At 45.9% G+C, this 24,024-nt stretch overlaps 1 protein-coding gene and 1 long non-coding RNA gene across 11 annotated transcripts in view, besides 2 other annotated features; one reads left to right on the forward strand and one right to left on the reverse strand.

The window, feature by feature from the left end:
• ZFHX3 (zinc finger homeobox 3) overlaps nt 1-24,024 on the reverse strand; it is a 1,109,046-nt gene that overhangs the window by 74,510 nt on the left and 1,010,512 nt on the right. The window lies entirely within an intron of this gene.
• On the forward strand, nt 14,944-19,246 carry LOC124903715 (uncharacterized). Its single transcript, XR_007065111.1, has 2 exons — nt 14,944-16,039; nt 17,506-19,246. It is a non-coding gene; the product is annotated as an uncharacterized LOC124903715 (long non-coding RNA).
• Nucleotides 19,650-20,849: an enhancer, noted in NCBI's record as "CDK7 strongly-dependent group 2 enhancer chr16:72910943-72912142 (GRCh37/hg19 assembly coordinates)". NCBI's record gives its function as "activates an origin of replication core promoter dependent on BRD2, BRD4, P300/CBP, MED14 and CDK7 cofactors, with strong dependence on CDK7, by STARR-seq in HCT116 cells {active_cell/tissue: HCT116}" and the evidence as "EXISTENCE:reporter gene assay evidence [ECO:0000049][PMID:35650434]".
• Nucleotides 20,864-21,365: an enhancer, noted in NCBI's record as "H3K4me1 hESC enhancer chr16:72912157-72912658 (GRCh37/hg19 assembly coordinates)". NCBI's record gives its function as "activates a minimal SCP1, AML or CMV promoter by ChIP-STARR-seq in primed H9 embryonic stem cells {active_cell/tissue: H9 hESC(primed)}" and the evidence as "EXISTENCE:reporter gene assay evidence [ECO:0000049][PMID:30033119]".

Below are 24,024 nucleotides of genomic sequence, written 5' to 3' on the forward strand. Positions count from 1 at the left end.
ATAAAGACTAAGCTGAGTGTGGTGGCTCATGCCTATAATCCCAGCCCTTTGGGAGGCTGAGGCAGGAGGATCACTTGAGCCCAGGAGTTTGCCCAGCCTGTGCAACATAGCGAGACTTCATCTCTACAAAAAATAAAAGTATTAGCCAGGTATGGTGGCACATGTCTGTAGTCCCAGCTACTATGAAGGCTGAGATGGGAGGATAGCTTGAGCCTAGGAGTATGAGGCTGTAGTGAACCGCGATCGTGCCACTGCACTCCAGCCTGGGTGACAGAGCAAGATCCTGTCTCTGTAATTGACAAAAACAAAACAAAACAAAACACTAACAAAACAAACTTAATTCCAAGTTAACAAAAGCTGAGGAGTTATTTTTTCCCAACTTCAGGCTGCAGCCCTGCTAGGTTTGCAAAGAAATGGGAAATTTAAGGATAACTCTGAAGGTTGTATAATTCATGCCACTGGTTCTAAAAAGCAAAGTTGCCTTCCCCACCAAAATCCTTCATCTTTCAGACAAAGGCAGGGTTTTCTTGCCGTTTCCAACACCTGACAGTGTGAACTACCGGAGTAAGAGAGCAAGGACCAGGGCCCGCTGCTCCTCAGCCTGAAAGGCGGGGCAGCCAATCAGAACTAATCTCTGTGCTGGAAGTAAATTCAGTGTTCTCTTCCCTGATCTGGTGCGGCGGGGGGCTCTGACGGCAGGGGTGGGCTTGCTTCCCTTGGTGCCCCCATCCCATACCCTAAAAACTAACAAGGGCCTTTCTGGTCAACACCTCTCACCACAAGCAGCCGTGGAAGAAATTATTTTAGATCAAGCCCAAAATGAAATCCAAAGCAACGAGGCTGACTTTATGACTTATTTATTTATTTCTTCCTTCACGAACAGAAGGTTAATATAAGAGCAACTCCTTGGCAAACCTTTAAGGGTAATTCAAGCGACACTGATGTGAATCAATGTTCCCTTTGTGAACACATTACTTGGCAGAAACTGGCTTTTTGTAACCCCCTTAAACATAGCCGGCAAAACAAAAAGAGGGGGGAAAATGTCCTTCAAACAAAAGGATGAGGTGAAAATAAAGAGAGAGTCGACTGCACTTTATTCTCTTTCATAGAAGCAAATGGATCTGGTGCTTTTATACATTAATCAATCAATATCACTGGCTGTACATCAGCAGGGTAGCCAAGTTATGAATGACCTTTCTGGCAAAGAGGACACTTTTAATGCTCATAAGACTGCTCATAGCTTAGCAACTTTCCGAATTTATGCCTGCATGATTACCCCTTGGAGGCGAGCAGCCGTGAGTGCTGCACTAAATATGGCAAGGTTAGTCGTTTTCAATTTGTGCAGAGGGAGGAAGAGATGTGGACCTGGCTGCCCCATTTACGCACGAGCTGCCGCAACCTGGGCGACACAGAGGGCAGAGCCCCAGGCCCTGCAGCGGGTCAGGGCTGGCCTCCCTTCTGGAAAGCCGGCCGGGTCTCCTGCTCAGCTTCAGGCCAAACCAAACACGGCAGCTTCAGACAGCTCATCTAGAAAGCTGTGCCCAGCTCAACTTCGCTTTCTGTCTGCTTCTCACAATCAGATCCTGAGTTCCTCAAGCTGACAGCCAGGCCGGACTGGCCAGCACGGGGTATTCCCAGGCTCCCTCCACACCCTCTGCCCTCTGGCTTCTGTGCCTCTGAAAGCCCTCCCCACGTTGATTGGACTCCTCCAACCAGGTCACAGCTTGATGTTTCCAAAAAGCAATGAGAACTTTCATCTTTGTTTTTTCTTTTTTTAAAGCAATCCACAGAAGGGCATTTCTACCGAAAAGATGACGCTCTCCAGAAACAGGCAGCCCACATAAACAAACTGTTGGGCCAATCCTCTTTCTTTTCCCCTGTCACCAACTCAGCCATTCTCTTCATGTCCAAAAGGCGAGAAAGTTCTCTGGATTCCATTCTTTGTGGGTGGAAATGGGGCAAAGGGTTGCCTGTGGGTCTGGATTTCTATGACAACCGCTATCGTCCCAGAGAGGCCGCAAGGGGGCAAGAGACAAAATCCCACCTCAGCCTTCTTCTCCCAACTCCTCTTTTACAGCCATGTTTAAAGTCTCTGGAAGTCTGGAAGAGATTCCCAACTTGGACATGTGGAAGTCCACTTATAAGGCCCCACTTTTTTCTGTCTCCCATAGAGGGAAATAAAGACGTTTAGGGATTTGAAATATAGCTTTAACTTCATATAAATTAGAACAGAAGAAACCACAGGCTAAAACTCATTGGCCCCACTGGAGTACAAGGAAAATTCAGCGCAGAAACGAGCTTTACTGAGACCATCCTTTAGTCTACAAGGAGTTGCCCAGTGAGGGGAGAATGCGGCAGGACATGGGTTAGAGGAAATGAACAGCTGGGTTGTGGTCACTTCTGGTAATGGCCTTAAGAACACAATTGGGCCACTCCGTGTTCATATTTCTGAGATCAGAAGAGTTTACAGAAACAGGACTCCGCTCCAAGGTATCACTGATAGAAGCCCCCAGGCCGTAAGACAGGCTAGTTTACAGAAATGGAAGATAAATAACAATGAAAACAAGGAGAAGAGAAGCTTGTAAGGACACTATGCAGGCATCTCCGAAGGGGTGGCGAGTTCTTATTTCCGTGCCCCTCGACATGGTGGACGTTTGCAGCTCCTAGCCCAGCTGGGAAGTACAACACTCCCTCAGCGTTCCACATACTTAAATAAATAATCCTGGTCTCGTTACCGATTATATTTTAACAGATCCAGATTCCCATCTAGAAAAACGGCTTTCTGTTTAGAGCAGGGAGGAAAACACAGAGCCCCCTCCAGCTGGTCCCCCTGCAGAGCTGGTTCTGGGATGGTGCCGCAGACACCCGCTTCCTGTTCCATCAGGCCTCGGTGGAACGGCTCTGTTTTCCCCCAGGAAGCTCCAAATCCACAAAGTCAACAATTCTTAAAAGCCTGCCCGCTTTCCCCCCTCTTTCCTTTCAGCGTTTAACAAATATCAAACGTGTGTCCCTCCAAACCACCTTCCAAATTTACAAACTTTTTACTTTTTGAGACAGAGTCTCACTCACTCTGTTGCCCAGGCTGGAATGCAGTGGCACGATCTCAGCTCACTGCAACCTCTCCCTCCTGGGTTCAAGTGATTCTCCTGCCTCAGCCTCCCGAGGAGCTGGGACTACAGGCATGCACCACCACGCCTGGCTAATTTTCTATTTTTAGTAGAGATAGGGTTTCACCATGTTGGTCAGGCTGGTCTTGAACTCCTGACCTTAAGTGATCCACCCGTCTCAGCTTCCTAAAGTGCTGGGATTACAGGTGTCAGCTACCACGCCCAGCCAAAATTTACAAACTTTTAGGTCCCCTTTGGAGCTGCCACCCTATGGACCGCCCTCACAGAACACAACACCTCAGGGAAGGGGTTGGCTAAATGCTCAGTCGTCTGTCCTTTCTCGATCTTTGCGCAAGCCTGGCTGTTCCTCTGACAGCTCTCAAAAATTCATCCCTGGTCTGACAGTTAAAAATAATGCATTTATTTTTTGTGTGCACAACGGTGACTTTACAGCCTCCCAGGGTTTTCCCAAGTTACAGACACCACTTGCCACCACTTTTCTTCATCTTCTCTTACCTGGCCAACAGCAACGGGTCAGCAGATGCTTTTCTCACGCACCTTCCCTCTCCCATGCAAATGACTCCCTAACCCGCCATCCACCTGGCAGACACCTGTGTCCCCTGTGCTGTGTTGACATCACCCTTCTGGAAGTGCTTGGTACCAACTGTCCCCTACAGCCACTGGGCTGTCTTGTCACACATTGCCATATGGCATGTCCTCGTTTTGCATATTTAAATCGCTATATCAAGAATATTAACAAAGATAAAAGGGTATGAGATCTTCCCACTAAGCATCGGGTGGAAATTCTCACATTAGTAATAATGCAATGTGAACCCAACCCCCAGGATGGAGAAGCCACTCAGAAGCTGGCCGGCCATCCTGTTTTGGGTGCAGTCCCAGACACAAGGACAAGCCCTCCCTGGGAGGCGGGTTACTCCTCAGAGTCTGGAAAAAGAGACTGTTTCCCCATCCACGTGCACATTTCATTACACCAGTGAATCCTGATACCTGGGTAATTTCAAGCTTTTACCAGAGCAAGAGAACACCCTAATACCCCCAAGGAAGCCCCAAACGCCTCCTGGAAAACCAGAGTCCAGGAATGGAAAAATACATCAGAGAAAAATTCTATCTGAAAATGTGGAATTACCAACATGCAAAAGATGCCAGAACCAGAAAGCCTAACCTGAAGGTCCACATATTTTGTAAAATTTGCACAAGAATAGATAGAACCCGCTGGGCATGGTGGCTCATGCCTGTAATCCCAGCACTTTGGGAGGCAGAGGCGGGCGGGTCACTTAAGGTCAGGAGTTCAAGACCAGTCTGGCCAACAAGGTGAAATCCCACCTCTACTAAAAATACAAAAATTAGCCGGGTGTGGTGGCATGAGCTTGTAATCCCAACTACTAGGGAGGCTGAGGCACGAGAATTGCTTGAACCCGGGAGGCAGAGGCTGCAATGAGTCAAGATCATGCCACTGCACTCTAGCCTGGGCAACAGAGCAGGACTCCATCTCAAAATAAAAAGAATAGATAGAACTGGAATTTTCTGTTTCATTGTCGGTGTCCTCTGCTCCCTGAGACCATATGCTCTGTGGGGAGGAACTGTGTGACACACTGTATACCATGCAACTTCAAGGGAAATCAATCATGTTAGGCCACTGCTGAATACCTCCAAGGGTTTCCCATAGCACTGAAACCCCAAACTTAGGACCCTGCTTACAAAGGTGGGTCTGGTGGTAGATGCCACCCACCTCAGCCCTCCCTAGGACACCAATTGCACTGGCCTACCTTCTGCCCCAGGGCCTTTGCACCAACCAGGCCCTAAGCCTGCTGTGTTCCCTGCCTTCTTCAAGGTCAAGTCAGGTCACAGCCTAAATGTTACCACCTTAAAGATTTAGCATTTAACCTGCCTTTGCAGTATTCAGGGTAAACAAATATTTAATGAGGAAAGCTTTCCCTTGATAAGGAGTAGCCCAGCTAATAAGTGAAGAAATAATAGAATGAGAATATCATCATTTTGCCAGCTCCAAATAAATAGGAGATTTGGGCAATGATCATCAATGGCTAATAACATCACAAAACAATCAGTGAGACATGTATCTCCTGATCAGATACACTGACTAACACACATGAAGCAGCCATGGAGAAAAAGTAAAACTGCTCCTAAATGAGATCAAGTGTCTAGATTTAACTATCAGTTCACAGAAAACACAGGGGTACAGAAGAACATGTTCAACAATGCTGTGGGGCTATAATCATCAAAACATCCAAATCCCGACTGCAGGGATCCTACAAGATACATGATTCAGTTTCTTCAACCAAAATTGCAAGGAAGGAAAAAAAAAAGTTAGAAGAGGAACATACAGGTAAAGAGACTTTAGAGACATATCAATTCATGTAATGTGAACACCATGTTGGCATCTGGATTTAAACAAAGCAACTATCAAAAAACACATGTATTAGGCTGGGTATGACAGCTCACACCTGTAATTCCAGCACTTTGGGAGGCCAAGGTGGAGGATCGCTTGAGCCCAGGAGTTTGAGACCAGCCTGGGCAACAAAGCAAGAACCTGCCTCTACAAAAATGAAAATTAAAATAAATAAAAATAATCCATGTATTAGGGAATTTTTAATATGAACTCAATATTTGATGATTCCATGAATTTATAATTTTTAGGGGTCTGATATTGCAGTCTTGTTAATAAAAAAAGAGAGATACAGGTCAGGCATGGTGGCTCACACCTGTAATCCCAGTGCTTTGGGAGGTCGGAGTGGGAGGATTGCTTGAGCTCAGGAATTCAAGACCAACTTGGACAACACGGCAAAATCTCATCTCTACTAAAAAAAAAAAAAAAAAAAAAAAAAAATTTAGCCAGGCATGATGGTGCGTGCCTGTAGTCCCAGCTACTCAGGAGACTGAGGCAGGAGGATGGCTTGAGCCTGGAAGATCAAGGCTGTAAAGAGCTATGATCGCGCTACTGCACTCCAACTTGGGTGACAGAGACAGAGAGAGAGAGAGACAGAGACAGAGACAGACAGAGAGAGAGAGAGAGAAAGAAATAGGGATGAAATGATATAACCAAGATTTGTTTGAAAATAATTGAGTAAACGGAAGCAGGGAGTGAGGGGTAGTGTATAGATGAAACAGGACTGGCTGTGAGTGGGTATCTGCCGAGGATGGATGATGGGTTCATGGGGTCTGCTGGTTCATACTCTACTTGTGGATATGTTTGAAATTATCCAACTCAGGAACACAGATGATGGGTTCATGGGGTCTGCTGGTTCATGCTCTACTTGTGGATATGTTTGAAATTATCCAACTCAGGAACACAGAAGGTTCATTTTTTTAAAAAAGTTCCTTCCTTCTGCACTTTGGGAGGCCGAGGTGGGTGGATCATGAGGTCACGAGATCGAGACCATCCTGGCTAACATGGTGAAACCCCGTCTCTACTAAAAATACAAAAAAATTAGCTGGGCGTGGTGGTGGGTGCCTGTAGTCCCAGCTACTTGGGAGGCTGAGGCAGGAGAATGGCGTGAACCCGGGAGGCAGAGCTTGCAGTGAGCCGAGACAGTGCCACTTGCAGTCCGGCCTGGGCGAAAGAGCAAGACTCCATCTCGAAAAAAAAAAATTTCCTTCCCTGACTATCCCTCTACAACAGGTACCTCAACAACCCCTAGTCACCCATCTTATGTTTGATTTTAATTCTTTACCTGACCCTTATATTTTTTTCTTTTGATTTACTCCTCATAAACCCTTCTTGATGTAAGCTGCACAAGAGCTGGGGCCTGGCCACCCACATTGACCACCATGTCTCTAGGGCTTTGAAGATACCTGGCACATGGGAAGCTTCATTAAATACACATTAGAAAACATAGAAGCACATGTACAAACAAGACCACATCAATCATTCAGTAGCAACTCAGAGCGTCGTGCTCTCTTGTCTTTGTAGGAAGTCTTGAGGGGGCGTTCATCCCCCTTCTTAGGAAGATGTGAAAGTATTCCCGGGCCACCCAAACAGTTTAAGCATTGTATCTTGGCAACAGACTGTCATGTATCGATAGACACACAAGTAAAGCTTTGAAATCTTTCTCTAAACTTGTGAATGAAGCACCAAATACCATGGACAGAGCAGCAGTTGACCTCTCAGGTGGCCCACACTCTTGGGCCTCACTGCATGGCCACCCATGTTATCGATCAGTTGATCACATACTGGCACATCAGGACCACCAATTCCAATCCCAACAGCTATGGCCTATATCAGAATCCAACCAAGAATGAAAGCCATCAATCATCTACATAGCAGGCTATTTGGAAACATCCAGATGTTAGAGTTTTGAAGATGATGCCTAGCGCAATCTAATGGAAGTGTTGTTCAATTTATGAGCCGTGATGATGCCACCTGAAAAATGAGACTGTCCTGTAATCCTGGAGGATGCAAATAAAGATGTGGGCCAGTGCATTTCCAGCCAGGATAGCCCAAATGGGTGTTAGGTGAGGCCAATATTCCTCTACCAATGAGGCTATTTTAAAAAGTGGATTTTGCATTCCTGCCTACTGTCAGGATAGTGACAGCCGGCTGAACCACCCTAATGAATTATTTTAAACAGAAGATGAAACATTAACTTAGGAACCTGAGAGAGAGGCTTTCACTTTCTTAAGATGAACCTGTGACTTGAAAGAGTCTCACCAACAAGTATTTATGGATGACTTCCATGTGCCCAGGCAGGGCACAAGACTGAGGACTCAGTTGAGAACCAGGTAAGGTCAGAAAGGGAAGAGACCAATGGGAAAAGGGCTTGTGGCTGAGATCCCTCCAAGGTGCCATCCACTAGCCCAGCAGAACCCTCAATATACACACAAGCCCGTTCAGCCCCGAGTTGGGCTCTGAGTGCCATGGATCTGTCTTCACCTTCATGGCGGCCCTGTGCTGGGCCATATCAGGCATTTGGGCTGTGACAGCCCTTGTTAACAGTAGTGCTTGGCTCGCTCTCTGGTGAGCTCCCAGAATGAACTTGGATCTTGTCCCCACCCAATGTGCCAACCCAAGGGCACACTGACAAGGAGTATGCTGTCATAGGCTATAGGGACAGGTATAGGCAACAGAAAGAGAAGGCGAGTTTTTGCTACTGAGATGGAGGGTACCTCCACTACCTGTGACTGGCCAAAGAGGAAGGCTGTGGGTTGGAGGTGGTCAGGGTCACCTCCAAACTCATCACAAATGAGGGCTTCCACCATCAGGACTGGCTCTTCCCAATTCTGCTGCTGACCAAGGCTTCTGTATCCACAGAGAAGCCCTCTGTGGGGCTGTGTGCCCTGCAGGCTGAGGTCATGGTTACGCCACTCATGCTCCTTTGAGGCATGAACTCTGGAGTAGGGCTCCCCTTGCCCTACACAATGGAGGAAACGCCATGCTGAAGATTCCACATGCCACCGGGACAGCCCTAAGTGGGAAAGGGAGACCCGGGGCTTCTCTGAGCTCAACATACTCCTCCCACACAAAGGAAGCGGGTGTACTGAGGCTGCAGCCCAGAAAGATAATGTGATGCGGTCGTGAGATGCCCAAATTGGAAGGAGGAAAAAAAGGAACAAAGAAATCACTGTGGACAGATGAAATGAAAATCTGGCAGGGCTCTGTCCTAACAAATGATCCTAAAATGAAATAACACTAACTTTTCTCCTTTGGCAGATACACAGAGAGGGAGAGTGAGAGCAGTAGCCAGAGAGGGAGGGTCAGAAAGAAGGTTGCACCCACTATGTGCCAGGCTCCACACTAAGTATAATGACACTTTATGTACATTCCCTCACTTAACTGTCAAACAAAGATTAATGAGGTAGACCCCCTGAGGGTGCATTTGCGTCCCCTTTTATAGGTAAAAGAATTGAGGCTCAAGAAGGGTGCAATTGGGAGCCCCTGAAACAAACATGTAGACATTTTTTTGTGCATGTGCATTCATGAGCATTCTTCTGGGGTGAGGGATCATTTCTTTCATTAGATTACCTGAAAAGGTAAGAAATCCTCAGGTTATATAACTTGACCAAGGTCACTAAGCTCAGAAAAGCTGGGATCTAAACTCCTATGTGACTTATAAAAGCTTCTGCAACCAGATCTGATCTGAAAGCCCCCAGTCTTCACTGAGTAAGAAAGAAAAAGAAATACAAGAGTTGAGGAGATGGAAAAGGAAATGAGATGGGTGCTGGGTCTAAGTAGAATGTCCAAGGACATTTACAAGCCCCTTTCACTATCCCAGAGGTTCTTCAAAGCCATGGCACCTCTTTGAACATCTTCAGTGTACAGAAGTGACATGAACCAACCCCACAACAACCCCACCCATTCACCATCCACACAGGCACAAACCCACCGACCTGCAGTTCCACCTTAACTGAAGCCAGAGAATGACCTGGAAACAATGGGATAAGCAGGAAATATCCAGATTCCCTAAATTATCATCTCTCTGGAAGTTCTGCAAAATATGAACAGTCATTATCTTGCCTGTATTGCTTTTCTTAATTTGGAGAGGGAACTGTGTAGAAAGTAATTAAGAGTGCACCTCATTGGCATGAATGTTTCCCACCATGGGCTGAACAGAAGATGATGTGGTGGGTCCAGTGTCAAGTCTCACTAAGCCAGCATGAGACTGTCCAGGCGGCATCCTCAACCCCACAGGAAGCTGAGGAAGCTGTCATCTGTGACTCTGCTGGGAAGAAGCTCAGCATTAATTCTACTCCACCAGGTGTCAATAATGTCAGTGTGGCATATTATGTGATTACTCTGAGTGGTTACACAAAATTTAGAAGAAAAAACTGCACTAACAGCATCACTCGCAGAGCAGAACTCTGGAAACGTGCACTTTACGCAATGGAGAAGTGCACTCTGTCTAATCCTGAGCAGGAAGATGAGAACGATTTTATAAGTGTGTCCCCTTCTATCTGGAAGATTGCAAGACACATGGAACGCCTTTCAGAAGACAAAACATACCAAAACATACCAAAATCTAAGACTGTAAGAAGCAACATCGTAATCCCATGCTAACGTTAATACCCTCATGGAGTACGACTACCCATGAGCAAACTCTTCTTCCATTTATTGTTGACACCAGTTTAAACATGTAATCCACATTTATTTTGATTGGATCATCTATTTTTGCTCTTGCAGTCATTTCCTGTCAAGTTTCTAGCCAAGGTGAAAAGTAGCGAACCCCCAGAGTAGACTCTTTGACAGGGGAAAAAAAAAAAAAGAAGAAGAAGAAGGGATGCTGTCTGTGCCCAGGCACTATTTTCTTAAGGTGGCAGCTTTCCTCTTCTAATGATGCCTCTGGTCACTGCACCAACCAGTTGAGTCGGTTTTTCTGGAAAGTTCTCACCAATCACTGAAAAGGGTGTTTGTGGAGGCCAAAAATGGTGACAATATCAAGAGCCGCACAGAGTCTGCCAAGGAACCCACGGGGCTCCGACAAGATGGCGCCCAAGGAAGCATGGAACTAACTGAGCCACTGACGAATGGGATAGATTCTGGACAAAAGTAATGTAAGACATGATCCCTGCCCCAAGATGTTTCCAATTTTAGGGATGAATAGTAAGCAAATACTAAGTAATCAGCCAAACGAGGCTGTCCAATCTTTTTGGAATAACATGAGATACATAAGTAATACATAAATGTAATTGGGTGCAAGGGTCAGTGGTACAGATTCACTGCTATATTCATTTACAAAAGTGGGGAATGAGGGAGGTATGTGTGGTTTTGATGATAACATCATTTTCACCCTCCCTTCTTACCCATTCCTGCCCTTCATCTTATTCTCTCCCACTTGGAGAATCAGCGCCTATCCAAGGCCCAAGCTCACATCCTCAGATCATCCTTACCTGCTCTCTTCCCCATTTCTCCCAGGTGGAACCACCTAAAAACAGCATTAAGTGTCTCACTCTAACCTAGACCCTCTGGCATCCTGCACCTTACATAAGCTTTCCCTCACATTCTTCCATCTTCCACTGGGGAGCCAGTCTTACCCTCTAAAACAAGGAGAGATCAGGTGACTTTGCCAGGTCCCCCAGATCTCAGGGCTCCGCACTCCCTAGAGGGGAAAGTCCTTGCTTCTCCCCCTCCACCCGTTCGCGCTCTATCTTTGGCTACAACTACATCCCATGACCTTTATACACTGGCAGATCTTCAGTTTTCAGGGTCCACATCGACAGGCTTCTTAGGAATCTTCTCCTGTTAGACAGTGAGATTCCTCAGGCACAGAGAGCCTCCTGGTCACCTTCTGCACCTCCACCTTGATTGCTTCTCCAGGCTCAAGGCTCAGTAGCCCTCTGTTCACCTCAGGAGTTGTAAGAAACAACCCTATTGTACATACAGCCTTGGAGATGAAAGCAGGAATAATTACCTCCAGAAAGGAAGAGTGGGTCTTGGCAGGAATTCTAAGAATGGACAGGAGAAAAAGCTGACGATGATTTGACATGAAAGGAAGAAAAATCAGAAGGCTGTATTTCCAAAATCCAAATAACAGAGAAAGGGTGAAAGGTGAAGATGAGACTATGCTTTCTGAGCCATCCCAGGGCAAACATCTGCTTTCTCATTCATTTCCTTCAGATAAGGGAGAGAAGACGGAAAGGAAGGCAGGAAGGACTTCAAATTTTTAACAGTTTTAGTAGAGAAAATGGAAAATTAATCAAATGCTATTACCAGGCCTTACATTTAAAAAATACTGGGGAGACTAGAAACACGAAACAGCAAGCCTGGCCCTGGAGCCTTCACTTTCCCTTCTGTGAGCTCTTGCACAGTTACCAGCCCCTCTGCCATCATCCTTCAAGGACCAGCCAGCCAGAGCCCTCGCCAACCAGAGGCTCAGTTATAGCAGAACACACTGATGAGAGCTAAAGGTGTTTTTTTTTTCTTAAATAAAAGATTTAGAAATAAGTTACAATTTATCATAATACCAACTTTCACATTCTAAGACCCTGTTACCCAGGCTCTGTCCAAGGTAACACATGATCTTCCTTCTTATTCTGTAATAGTTTCTTTGTCCACTTCCCAAAGCCTCCATTCCTCGTTTGACACCATGAGTGATCAGTGACATTTTAGAAAATTCTTCCCAGTCTTTCTAAAGTTCTGGCCTGCTGAATTTCCTGATCATCTAGAAAACCGGGAAGGGGAGTATAGGCTAAAAATAAACCTTAATGACCACCACTTTCATTTGCCAAATATTTCTCCCTATTGATTTTTATTAGCCATTTTTTCAAAACAATCTCATTTAAACAGTTCAATTCCTTATTAAATCATCTCCAAGCATATCCTCACTAGATTCTCATTAATTACAAAGGGAAAAATAGTAACTTCAGAATGGATAACCCCAGAAGGAACCACCATAACTAACTGACCAAAGCTGATGCCCGCAATCAAGAGACAAATCAATATCATGTATCTCATGAAACAATACACGAGAAAGAACACGCTTTCTTTTTTGGCATTTCTACCAAAATACACAGCCTGATTCTAATCATAAGGAAGCATCACATGAACCCAGTTGAAGGATACTTGACAAAACAGCTGACCTACACTCTTCAAATATGTCAAGGTCATAAAAGGGCAAGACAGAGGAACAATGCTAGATTAAAGAATATGGGCCAGGTGAGATGTAATCCCAGCACTTTGGGAGGCCAAAGCGGGCAGATTGCTTGAGCCCAGGAGTTCAAGGCCAGCCTGGGCAATGTGGTGAGACATCATCTCTACAAAAAATACAAAAACTAGCCAGATGTGGTGATGCATGCCTGTAGTCCCAGGTACTCAGGAGGCTGAGGTGGGAGGATCACTTGAGCCCAGGAGGTGGAGGTTGCAGTGAGCCAAGATCTCGCCATTGCACTCCAGCCTGGGTGACAGAGCTACAGAGCTAGACCCTGTCTTTAAAAAAAAAGAAAAAAGAAAAAAAAACGGCTGGGCACGGTGGCTCACGCCTGTAATCCCAGCACTTTGGGAGGCAGAGGCAGACAGATCACGGGGTCAGGAGATCGAGACCATCCTGGCTAACACAGTAAAACCCTGCCTCTACTAAAAATACAAAAAATTAGCCGGGAGTGGTGGCAGTGGTGGCAGGCGCCCTTAGTCCCAGCTACTTGGGAGGCTGAGGCAGGAGAATGGCATGAACCCAGGAGGCGGAGCTTGCAGTGAGCCGAGATCGCACCACTGCACTCCAGCCTGGGCGACAGAGCAAGACTCTGTCTCAAAAAAAAAAAAAAAAAAAGAAAGAACATGAAAGAGGACAGCTAAATATACCTTGTGATCTAAGATATTCTTTTCATACAAAGGATATTATTAGGAAAATTTGAATAAGGACTATAATAACCTAATAGTTTTATAGCAATGTTAGTTCTCTGATTTTGATCATTGTTCTGTGGTTATGTAAAATATCTTTGTTCTTAGGAAATACACACTAACTTATTTTGATGTCAAGGGGCACCATGTGTGAAATTTACTCTGAAATCCTTCCCAAAAAAATGGCAATGTGTATATTTCTATTTATTCTCCGTCTTTATGGAGAGAGTAAGATTATGAATGCGAGAGAGAAGTCAAAAAAGGAAATGTGGTAAAATGCTAATATTTGGGGAATGCAGGTGAGAGAATTTTCTTACTATGTAAAGTACATTACTTTTCTATAAGTCTGAAATTATATCAACATTTTATTTATTTATTTATTTTTGAGATGGAGTTTTGCTCTTGACGCCCAGGTTGGAGTGCAATGGCGCAATCTTGGCTCACTGCAACCTCTGCCTGCCAGGTTCAAGCGATTCTCCTGCCTCTGCCTCCCAAGTAGCTAGGATCACAGGTGCCTGCCACCATGCCCGGCTAATTTTTTTTTTTTTTTTTTGAGACGGAGTCTCACTCTGTTGCCAGGCTGGAGTGCAATGGTGCAATCTTGGCTCACTGCAACCTCTGACTCACTGGTTCAAGCAATTTTCCTGCCTCAGCCTCCCAAGTAGCTGGGATTACAAGCACGCGCCACCACGCCCAGCTAATTTTCATATTTTTAGTAGAGACGGGGTTTCACCACGTTGGCCAGAATGGTCTTGATCTCCTGACCTTATGATCCGCCTGCCTCAGCCTCCCAAAGTGCTGGAATTACAGGTGTGAGCCACCACACCTGGCCTTTTTAAAAATATTTTTAGTAGAGACGGGGTTTCACCATGTTGGCCAGGGTGGTTTTGAACTCCTGACCTCATGTGATCCGCCCGCCTCAGCCTCCCAAAGTGCTAGGATTACAGGTGTGAACCACCAAGCCTGGCCAAAATTTTAAAAATTTTTTAAGGAATTGGCTGGGCGCGGTGGCTCACGCCTGTAATCCCAACACTTTGGGAGGCTGAGGCAGGCAGATCACGAGGTCACGAGATGAAGACCACACTGGCTAACACAGTGAAACCGTGTCTCTACTAAAAATACAGAAAATTAGCCAGGCGTGCTGGTGGGCGCCTGTAGTCCCAGCTACTGGGGAGGCTGAGGCAGGAGAATGGCATGAACCCGGGAGTCGGAGCTTGCAGTTAGCCGAGATCCTGCCACCGCACTTGCACTCCAGCCTGGGCAACAGAGTGAGACTCTGTCTCCAAAAACAAAAAACAAAAAAAAAATTTCAAGGAATTACAAATTGAAATTAAAATAAGATTCCTAACATCCCCAGTCCAATTATATAATTTTGTATTCTTAAGTATTGCAATTATATATATTATGCATATTTCAGATGATATGCAAATTTCATTTACTACTTATTGTTTCCATATTGAGGAAAATGTTCAATGAAAACAGAGCTCCTATCAGCACTTGCAGTTCCCCTCCAATACAAATAGCCCCAAAATCAACATATTATTCCCCTCTTTAAGGCTTTCTTTTTACTCAGAATTCAACATGTGAAAGTACTCTCTAGGTTCTCAATTTGTTTAGGAGATTACGAGAAAAATAGGAGTTTTCAGGTATTTGTGTTTTGCTTTTTTTGAGACAGAGTCTCACTGTGTCATCCAGGCTGGAGCACAGTGGGGTGATCTTGGCTCACTGCAACCTCCGTCTCCCGGGTTCAAGCAATTCTCATGCCTCAGCCTCCGGAGTACCTGAGACTACAGGCACGCGCCACCATGTCTGGCTAATTTTTTGTATTTTTAGTAGAGAAGGGGTTTCACTATGTTGGCCAGGCTCGTCTCAAACTCCTGACCTCAAGTGATCCACCCGCCTCGGCCTCACAAAGTGCTCAGATTAGAGGCATGGGCCACGTGCCTGGCCATGTATTTGTTTTAAATAAATCTATGATATTCACACTCACCTACACGCCTTTCAAAAGATGGTGGGGGGTGGGGGATGGGCAAAACTAGACTTCCGAAAGATGGAAGAAAATGGGATTGCAATTTTTGGCCCTGCCCAAGATCCTCTCTTTAGGCAGAATGGCCTGCTCATTGGCTCCCGACCAGAGTCCTGAACTCCCACAACAGCCTGGGGTCTTCTTCCTCTGTCTCTACTGATTTATCTTTCCAGTTTCAGCCTGACTCTCTCCTTAGAGCTTCCCCACCATTCAGTCCAGGAATTCCTCACCCTCGAAGGCCCAGAGTATTTACTTCCTGTTCCACTCTCTGCTACTCACTACGGATCATCTTGAACCCTGTTAACCTTCAATGGGCGTATTTTTCACATCCTTCCAAAAGATCATAGGCTGGGCTCATTTCTTCTGTTCTTTTTATATTCCCTCACAGCAACCAGTATTTACAACTAACAGATGTTTAATAAACAGCTGCAAAGCTCAACATGCCCTAATGTTTTCAATGCAAGAATGAAGGGGAAAGAATGCCTCTGAATGACTCCAAAAGCATGCTTGGAGAAAATGGCAAATGTTTCTGCTGCACATTTAGAGGCCCCAGAATACAAATTTGCATTTGCACGACTTCCCTTTTCAATGAGAATTCAGGTACGTTCTTTCATTTTATCTTATTAGTATGATGAGATTTGTTCTTGATGAATCCGTACCACCTCAGCTACTCGTCATCATTCCATTATCACTACGTGTTTATAGATTTTCCCTTTTATTACTCATTTTATTTTTTCCATCAAGTATAGTTCATATACGAGGTAGTAATTACCAGGTTTTCTGCTCCTTACACTTCAAGTTCGCCAATTTTTTTCTGATCATAAAAGCCTAAGTGCCTATTGTCAAAAATCTTGAAAACAGAGAAAGTATGAAGACGAAAATTGTCCATAATCAGTGCTGTCTTCATATAGATATTTTAAAGGAAACTGTGACAATTATATGTGTTTTTGGGTCTTGCTACCCACCCCTCAGTCTACGGAGCTTGCTTCCATATCCTTAAATATTAATCAAGAACATTATTCTTAATGGCTACACAGATTTCCACCACATAATCGTAACACAGTTTACTTAATCTTCTTATATTTTAAAAGGCGTATGGCTGATGTTTCTAATTGCCTTCGTAATAAGCATACTTCCTTGCTAACAGAACACTCACTTTATTCAAAGCACAATACCCTCAGCCAAAACCTGTTGTCTGTTGTGCCCGAGGACAGTCATATGATGCAGTCCCAGCCAATGAGATGTAAGATAAAGCAAGTGGGCGGGGCTTTGGAGGAAACTTTTAAACAGGTGGTCTTTCGTGACGCATGCACTCTCACCAGCCTCACTTTCTTGTGCCTGGAGCTCAGATGGAGGATTTTTTGATTTTTTTTTTTTTTTTTTTTTTTTTTTTGAGACAGTCTCACTCTGTCGCTCAGCCTGGAGTGCAGTGGCACAATCTCGGCTCGCTGCAAACTCCGCCTCCCGGGTTCACGCCATTCTCCTGCCTCAGCCTCCCGAGTGGCTGGGACTACAGGCACCCGCCACCACACCAGGCTAATTTTTTGTATTTTTAGTGGAGACGGGGTTTCACGGTGTTAGTCAGGATGCGATCTCCTGACCTCGTGATCTGCCCGCCTCGGCCTCCCAAAGTGCTGAGATTGTAGGCGTGAGCCACCGCGCCTGGCCTGGAGGAGCCATCTTTAGACCATGAGGAGGCAACAAGCGCTTGGTGAGAATGGCTACATGGAAACATAGAAGGAAAGTGGATGTCTGCTGACTCAGTGGAACCTTCACTTCTGCACCTGACTGCCCTCCTCCCAAGGCTGCTTATATAAGGAAAAATGAAACCTCTTTTTTTTTTTGAGACAGGGTCTCGCTGTGTTGCCCAGGGTAGACTCAAACTTCTGGGCTCCCAGTATCCTCCTGCCACGGCCTCCCAAAGTGCTGGCATTGCCGGCGTAAGCCACCACACCATGCCCTCCTAACTCATTAAAGCCACTTTGGAGTGTTTCTGTGATCTATAGCTGAGTGGTGTGAAACAAAAGAATAACCTTTTTTTCCCCCACCTTCTGCTGTCTTCATAGCCTGTGATACAGCTTCAAAAACAAGGACCAAGACCTACACACCACAACTGCTGGGGTCATCCAGTCCAACCTGGGACAGAAGTCCTGGACAGGAGAGGTGTCAGGTCTCTCTTCCTCTGAAAGGGGGCTGCCTAACCTGTTGATGCTGTGCTCCCATCAAGAAGCTCACAGAGAATGATATGGGCCAGTGTTTGTTCCGTTTTAGTGCTCATACAACTCTAGCTGAGATTAACCAAGAAAACTGCCCCTTACTGGCTCAGGGAACTCCCATAGAGAATTCCCATAGGGAACTCCCATAGGGAATTCCAAACTTACAGGCCAGTAAGGTGGCCTGGCCGCTCTTCCACCTGGAACACAGCTCACTGAATACGGCAGATACCTGCAGACTGGGGGCAGAAACTGGGCTCTGGATCCCTTTCCCAGCGGGGAGACCTGGCTTGGTTGTGAGCCCAGCCCTGCAGGGAGGCTGCAGATCCAACACAGCTCCTCTTGGAAGCCCTCTGTGCCAGGAGGCACAGCCCAGATGCCCCGGGAATCCCTGAGGGAAATTTCATAAAACATGTGACTATCTACACAGCCTGCTAGAGGCCAGATCATTGCTCACACGGCTAAGTTGAAGCCTCAGTGCAGTTTCTACTTCATTCAGGGAACTGGAGTTGCAGCTTTCACTAGAAGAGCTGCTTCTCCTTGATGAACAAACCATTCCGCCCATAAAAATGCTGTGGAAAGTACTGTAAACGCTAATGCAGCCAAAAACTTAAAGACTGGTATAGGGTTAACTGAACTGCCACGTTAAGTCAGGTGTAACGAGATGACAATGCTTTAATCCTGCTGCTTAAAGCGATGTCTAAAATGTGCAAGTCAAATTTCAAGCCTTTGTAAGAACATAATGGTAAAGATAATTTCATCATTATCAGGTGATGCAACAACCTGCCCGGTCCCAGGGCTGGAATTCCAAACAGTCACGCCTTTGCAGAGTTTTACAGCCCTGGAAGAGAGGGGAGGCCACAGTGAACACCTGTGATGATAACTCCAGCCCATGCCCCGGTGATTTTTGACAATTGAATTAATGTTGAAATGAGCTTATTTTTCTGTCCTAAAGGGAAAACGAGCCTAAAATCCTGTTAATCTAGCATCCTGGTTACTCAGTTTCACCATAATTTATAGGATAGTTTTTCTATCCAAAAACTAAGGCTATTTTTATCCCAACTTCGCCGCTTCATAAAACACACGTGCATGCATGCAACTTCAGAGGTTTTGGCCTAAAGCAAGTTTTCAAAATAACCGGGTTCAAATATTTCATTGAGATGGTAGGGGTGGAAGAATCTTATAGAAGCAAATTTTACTGTTCTCTGTAAATTCAGACTTCTTCAGCCACAGATGGCTCAGGGATCCAGTCTCGCTTGAGAAACATGATGGAATAAGCCCACAGTCAGAGCTTCTTCTCATTCAGTTTCATGAAAGCTCTGAGCTCCCACAAGTGTCTGCTGGAACTGGACAGGAAGCTTGCAAGATGCTGGCTACGATTCAGCGCAGTCACCGCCTTCCCCAGTCGGCCCACCATCCCCAGCCATCCAACCACTTCCTCCCCACGAGGCATCGCCCGTTGGAAAGTTTTATTAACCAAATGCTTGAGGGTTTCTGTATATTTATATTACCTCCTCTTCTCTCCTGTTCTACCCAGGCATGTTGAAAAAAAAAAAAGTTATGATATACTTTAATAAAAACAAAATTAAAATGATTAAACCTTTCATATCCTTTAGAGATAATCTCTCTTCTCCTGGCTGGTCCAATCTGGAAGAAAACAAATGTGAACCATAGCTTGCTGCTGCTTTTCAATTTTTTTCCCCCCTAAAGAAACAAACAGAAAAAGCCGCCTGTGGCCAGATTTTTAAAATAAATTAAATTTGTCCTCACACACGGCAGCCAGGTGTGGTTGAAACATTCTTTCCAGATATCTATGATATATGCCAACATCCTTCCCTCTGGGGGTCTTTCAACGTGAGCCTGACAATCCCAAGGGGAACAGAGACTTGGCGGGGGAGAAAGGGGGGTGATTCCAAAATAGTTATTGAAAAAGAATCACTATTTCCCAATTAGCCCTGTAATAATGCCTTACAGGAATGACTGGATGCCCTGCCCCTGCACGCCATCTACCAAAACCAAAAAATAGTCTACATTCCTGATTAAAGCAAAGCTCAGAGAAAACAGCCCGGTATGGCACAAATCTCCCCGGTCTTATGTGTTCTGAGGAAGTCTTCAGATCCGCCCAGGGTCTGGGCACAGGTCCGCAGGGAATCAAATGGCTGCAGAATTCGATCAGGCCTGTCTGTCCAAGGCCAGCTAGATATGGAAATCAGAAGTAGGTCATCAGCCCTCAAGAATCGGATAATGACCTCTGGACTCGCAGCGCTGGGGCCACCAAGAGAACAAAGGTGTTAAGGCACTGTGTAGGTTTTTCTGTTGTTGTTGTTGGTGTTGTTGTTACAATATCTAATAGTGAGATCAAATTCTTATTGTGGAAATAAACATCACGGTCTTCTGTATGAAGATGGTCTGCGGAAAGTGACCACGCATCAGAGTGTCCAGCGTAGGAGGAGAATCTCAGTTTGCCTTAGTCATCATAGCACACACCCTGAGCACAGTAAGTTTCTCATTCTTCGTGTCTGGTGTTTATGTTGTAGTAGAGACGACTCGTCCTCAAGTTAAAAGGACAAAAGTCTTTCCTGTGTTTCATACTTGGGCGGTGAGTCACTAGGAAAGGATTTGGTTTTTAGAAAAAAAACTTCTGATCCCTGGGCTAAAACAGAGAGCCCCAAAGAGCTATGTTGATCCCAGACAAGCACGTGCGTGGATTCTTCAAAGTTCAGGTCAACTCAGGCCCCTCCTCCTTGCAGTCAGCCCTGTACTCAAGGTTGCTGGAGACATGGCGCCTCTATTTCCTGCCCAAAGAAGCCCCCTTAACTGGGGGCCACGGGTTGAGTGGTGAAGGAGGCAACTCACACCTGAATTATAGTGGGCTTGTAAACCTGAACAGGGCAAGTCACAACTTTGGGAGGCTGAGGCAGGAGGATCACTTGAGGCCAGGAGTTCAAGAACAGCCCTGACAACATAGTGAGACCCTGTCTACAAATGAAAAAACTAGCCAGGTGTGGTGGTGCATGCCTGTGCTACTTGGAAGACTGAGGCAGGAGGATCACTTGAGCCCAGGAGATGGAGGCTACAGTGAGCCATGATTGTGCCACTGCACTCCAGCCTGTGTAAAGACCCTGTCTCTACAAAAAAAGAAAACAAAAACAAAAACAAAAAAACAAAAAAAACTCACCTACCAAAAGTCCAGCTGACATCTACTACAAAATTCCCATTATTGCCATAAAAACATGTGGGCTGGGTTCAAGGCTGCATAGCAGATGGCCAGGCTACATCCTCATCACACACGCACTTCACTGGTGCCAGTGCCGGTGACAGGCTAGAAGCCACTCCAGTGAGGACCCCTGCCAGGGCCAATCAGATCAGGGCTGCCCTCCCCATGCTGTGGGGCTTCTCAATGCTTCTGAAATGGACTCACACAAGGAAGTCACAAAGGGCTTTGGACATTAGGAAAACCATGCAAACTGTTTCCACTTCTCAGAGCAACCCGAGGCACGCGCTCTGGAGTGTGCAGAGTCACAGATAACTGCTGCTGCTTTGCTCACCGCAGTCTTAGGATTTCTTCATTTCTATCCTGGAGAGAATCCAGCAATGGATCACACTGTTATCTAGACACAAAGAATCCCACCCCTGGGGCAAAGTGCTACTTGTCCCGTGGATGAGTTTGTCAGCCTGCAGCAAGGAGGCCAGACGCAGTGGGAAGAGCACAGCCCTGGGCCCTGGGCCTCTGTACCAAGTCCCTACTCTGCTGCTGTCTACAGCAGCCCTGTCCTCAGGAACCTTCTCCAGGGAAGGAAATGGCTTCTGTCTGCACATCCAATACAGCAGCCACTAGCCACATGGCACTGAGACAGATGGGCCGCTGCAATGGGAACCTAGCGACATGAGACATCCAAGATTGCCAGGAAGGGTCCGAGTTCGCCTCTGCTTTATGCTCGTGCAGGACAGGAACGGCCCTGTGGAGGCTGCCCTCGAGGCTCACATCACAGGCTCAATCTGGGAAAGACCAGCCATGGGAAGCAGGATGTGACTTGCCCTGGAAGCGCAAGTGAAGGACGGGCTCCGAATGAAAGCTACACAAGGTAACAATATACACACTGGGATCTTTATATTATGTCCAGCCTGGAGTATATAACACAGGGTAAGGAAAAACCAAGGAATTAAAAGTCCTTCAGGTACTTCGAGCAACTGAAATCCTTTGGATGGAAGTCCAGTCAATCAGCTGGCCCCCTATTGAATTCTATACCCTAATGGGTCATAGAAAATTGTAAGGCTCTAGGTAGCATCTACCCCAACCAGAGCACAAACACCACACACAAGCCCAGGGAGATCTGCTTAGTCCCTAAAAGCACAGTGGGCAGCAAGGAGGGGTTTCTATTTCTTTTTTTTCTTTTGAGACGGAGTCTCGCTCTGTCGCCCAGGTTGAAGTGCAATGGCGCGGCCTCTGCTCATTGCAACCTCTGCCTCCCAGGTGCAAGTGATTCTCCTGCCTCAGCCTCCCGAGAAGCTGGGATCACAGGCACCCGCCACCATACCTGCCTAATTTTTATATTTTTAGTAGAGGTGGGGTTTCATCATGTTGGCCAGGCTGGTCTCCAATACCTGAGCTCTAGTGATCCGCCCGCCTCGGCCTCCCAAAGTGCTGGATTACAGGTGTGAGCCACCATGCCCAGCTAAGGAGTTTTTATTTCTATAAATCCCTCCAACAGGAGCCTAACACAGGCCAGCCTGCTGGAGCACCTTCAGCAAAGGCAGCTTTTCTCGATGCTAAGACCATCAAATTTCACAGGCACAAGAACCTTCCTCCACGTGGCCGGCTGTCAGTCCTCTTGGTGTTTGCCAGCAAGAAGGTTTCGGTGAGGGCTGTGTGAGAACAGGCAAGGAAAGAGTCATGGTAAAATGGGCTCAGAGGACACAGGGCTCTGACCCCTTTTCCTGTCCTAACAAGTGTCTTTGAGCACTTCCGGCTTCATTTGGAGTCCCCTTCCAGCGAGGTCGCAGTAGTTAATCCCATGCCAAGGCCAGCACTGAGAACCGTGTGCTGCGAGCAGGAAACCAGAGAAGGCCTGGTGGGCGCTGACAGTTCTGTCCGAGGCGACTTCCAGGATCTCCATGACCTCCCTTCATCTCTCCCACCACCTTCTGTCCTACCCTCCTGCCCCACCCAAAGTGACCACAGAAAAGGAAACAAGAAACTGGCTTCAGATATCAGAAAGTCTGGGTAATAGACTGAACTGTGGTCCTCCCAGTGTCCTAGGTTGAAGTCCCAACCTCCAGTACCTGAGGATGTAGCTATGACTGGAGACAGGACTTTTAAGGAGGTGATTAGGTTAACGTGAGGCCTTTAGGGTAGACCCTAATCCAATCTATCTGGTATGTCCTAATCATACAGAGACACACCAGGGGGACTCACAGAGACCAGGCTATATGAGACCAAGGCCTCGGGAGAAGCCAAAACTGCCGGCACCTGGATCTTGAACCTTTAGCGTCCAGAACTGTGAGAAAATACACTTCTTTTGTTTCAGCCAACCAATGGAAACGGGGGGTGAAAAATACACACATTCTTTTTTGACTTTATAATATGACAATTTTTGATAAAATTTTGGGTTGAAACAACAGATGGCCCTGTACCAGGAAAATCACACATTGTCTGATTTTTGATATTCTAATTAGAGCAGAGGTCAAAGATCTTTTAAAAGCAATAAATGGCTCCTTTTATTAACATATACACAAAAGGTCTCAAGATAGTCTTGAGGCATAAAACTATAAAAACCCATTTAACATCCACTCTGAAAAACACATCTTTACAAAGTCCTTTCAAAGTCCCTCAAAACTGCTAATGGAATAAGACATAAGTAGCAAAAAGCAAAATTAAATGCTTATTTGAAGACTGTTCTCCCAAACTGAGAAAAACTGTGAAACAGAGAGAAAGATCAGCAAGAAAAGATGTACCCTATCCAGGCTGGCGGGAACCACACTTCTCTAAAATGCAAGCCAAAAAATATTAAGGAAAATGTAGCCCCAAACCTAGCCTGGGTCTACCAGAAGTCTGAGGAAACCCAGTGAGGAGGAGCTGAGCATGGTCCAACAGAACCTTCTGAACTGCTCTAGAAATCTGTATTGTCTAAGTTAACCATGAGCCCCATGGCACTATTAAGCACTTGAAATCTGGTTAATATGATGCAGAAACTGGATTTAAAATTTTATTTAGCATTAACAGAGAATTTTGAGAAGCTTCCTTGTGGCTCTCAGGAGACCAGAAAGCCCAGGAACCAGGGAGGTATGGGCAGCACTTAGACTGAGGCCACAAAACTTTCCACTGCTCGTCAATGTTTGAAAAAAATAATTTGGAACCATAATTCTTATAAT

This window comes from Homo sapiens, chromosome 16 (genome assembly GCF_000001405.40).
Source record: "Homo sapiens chromosome 16, GRCh38.p14 Primary Assembly".
Classification (NCBI taxonomy): domain Eukaryota; kingdom Metazoa; phylum Chordata; class Mammalia; order Primates; family Hominidae; genus Homo; species Homo sapiens.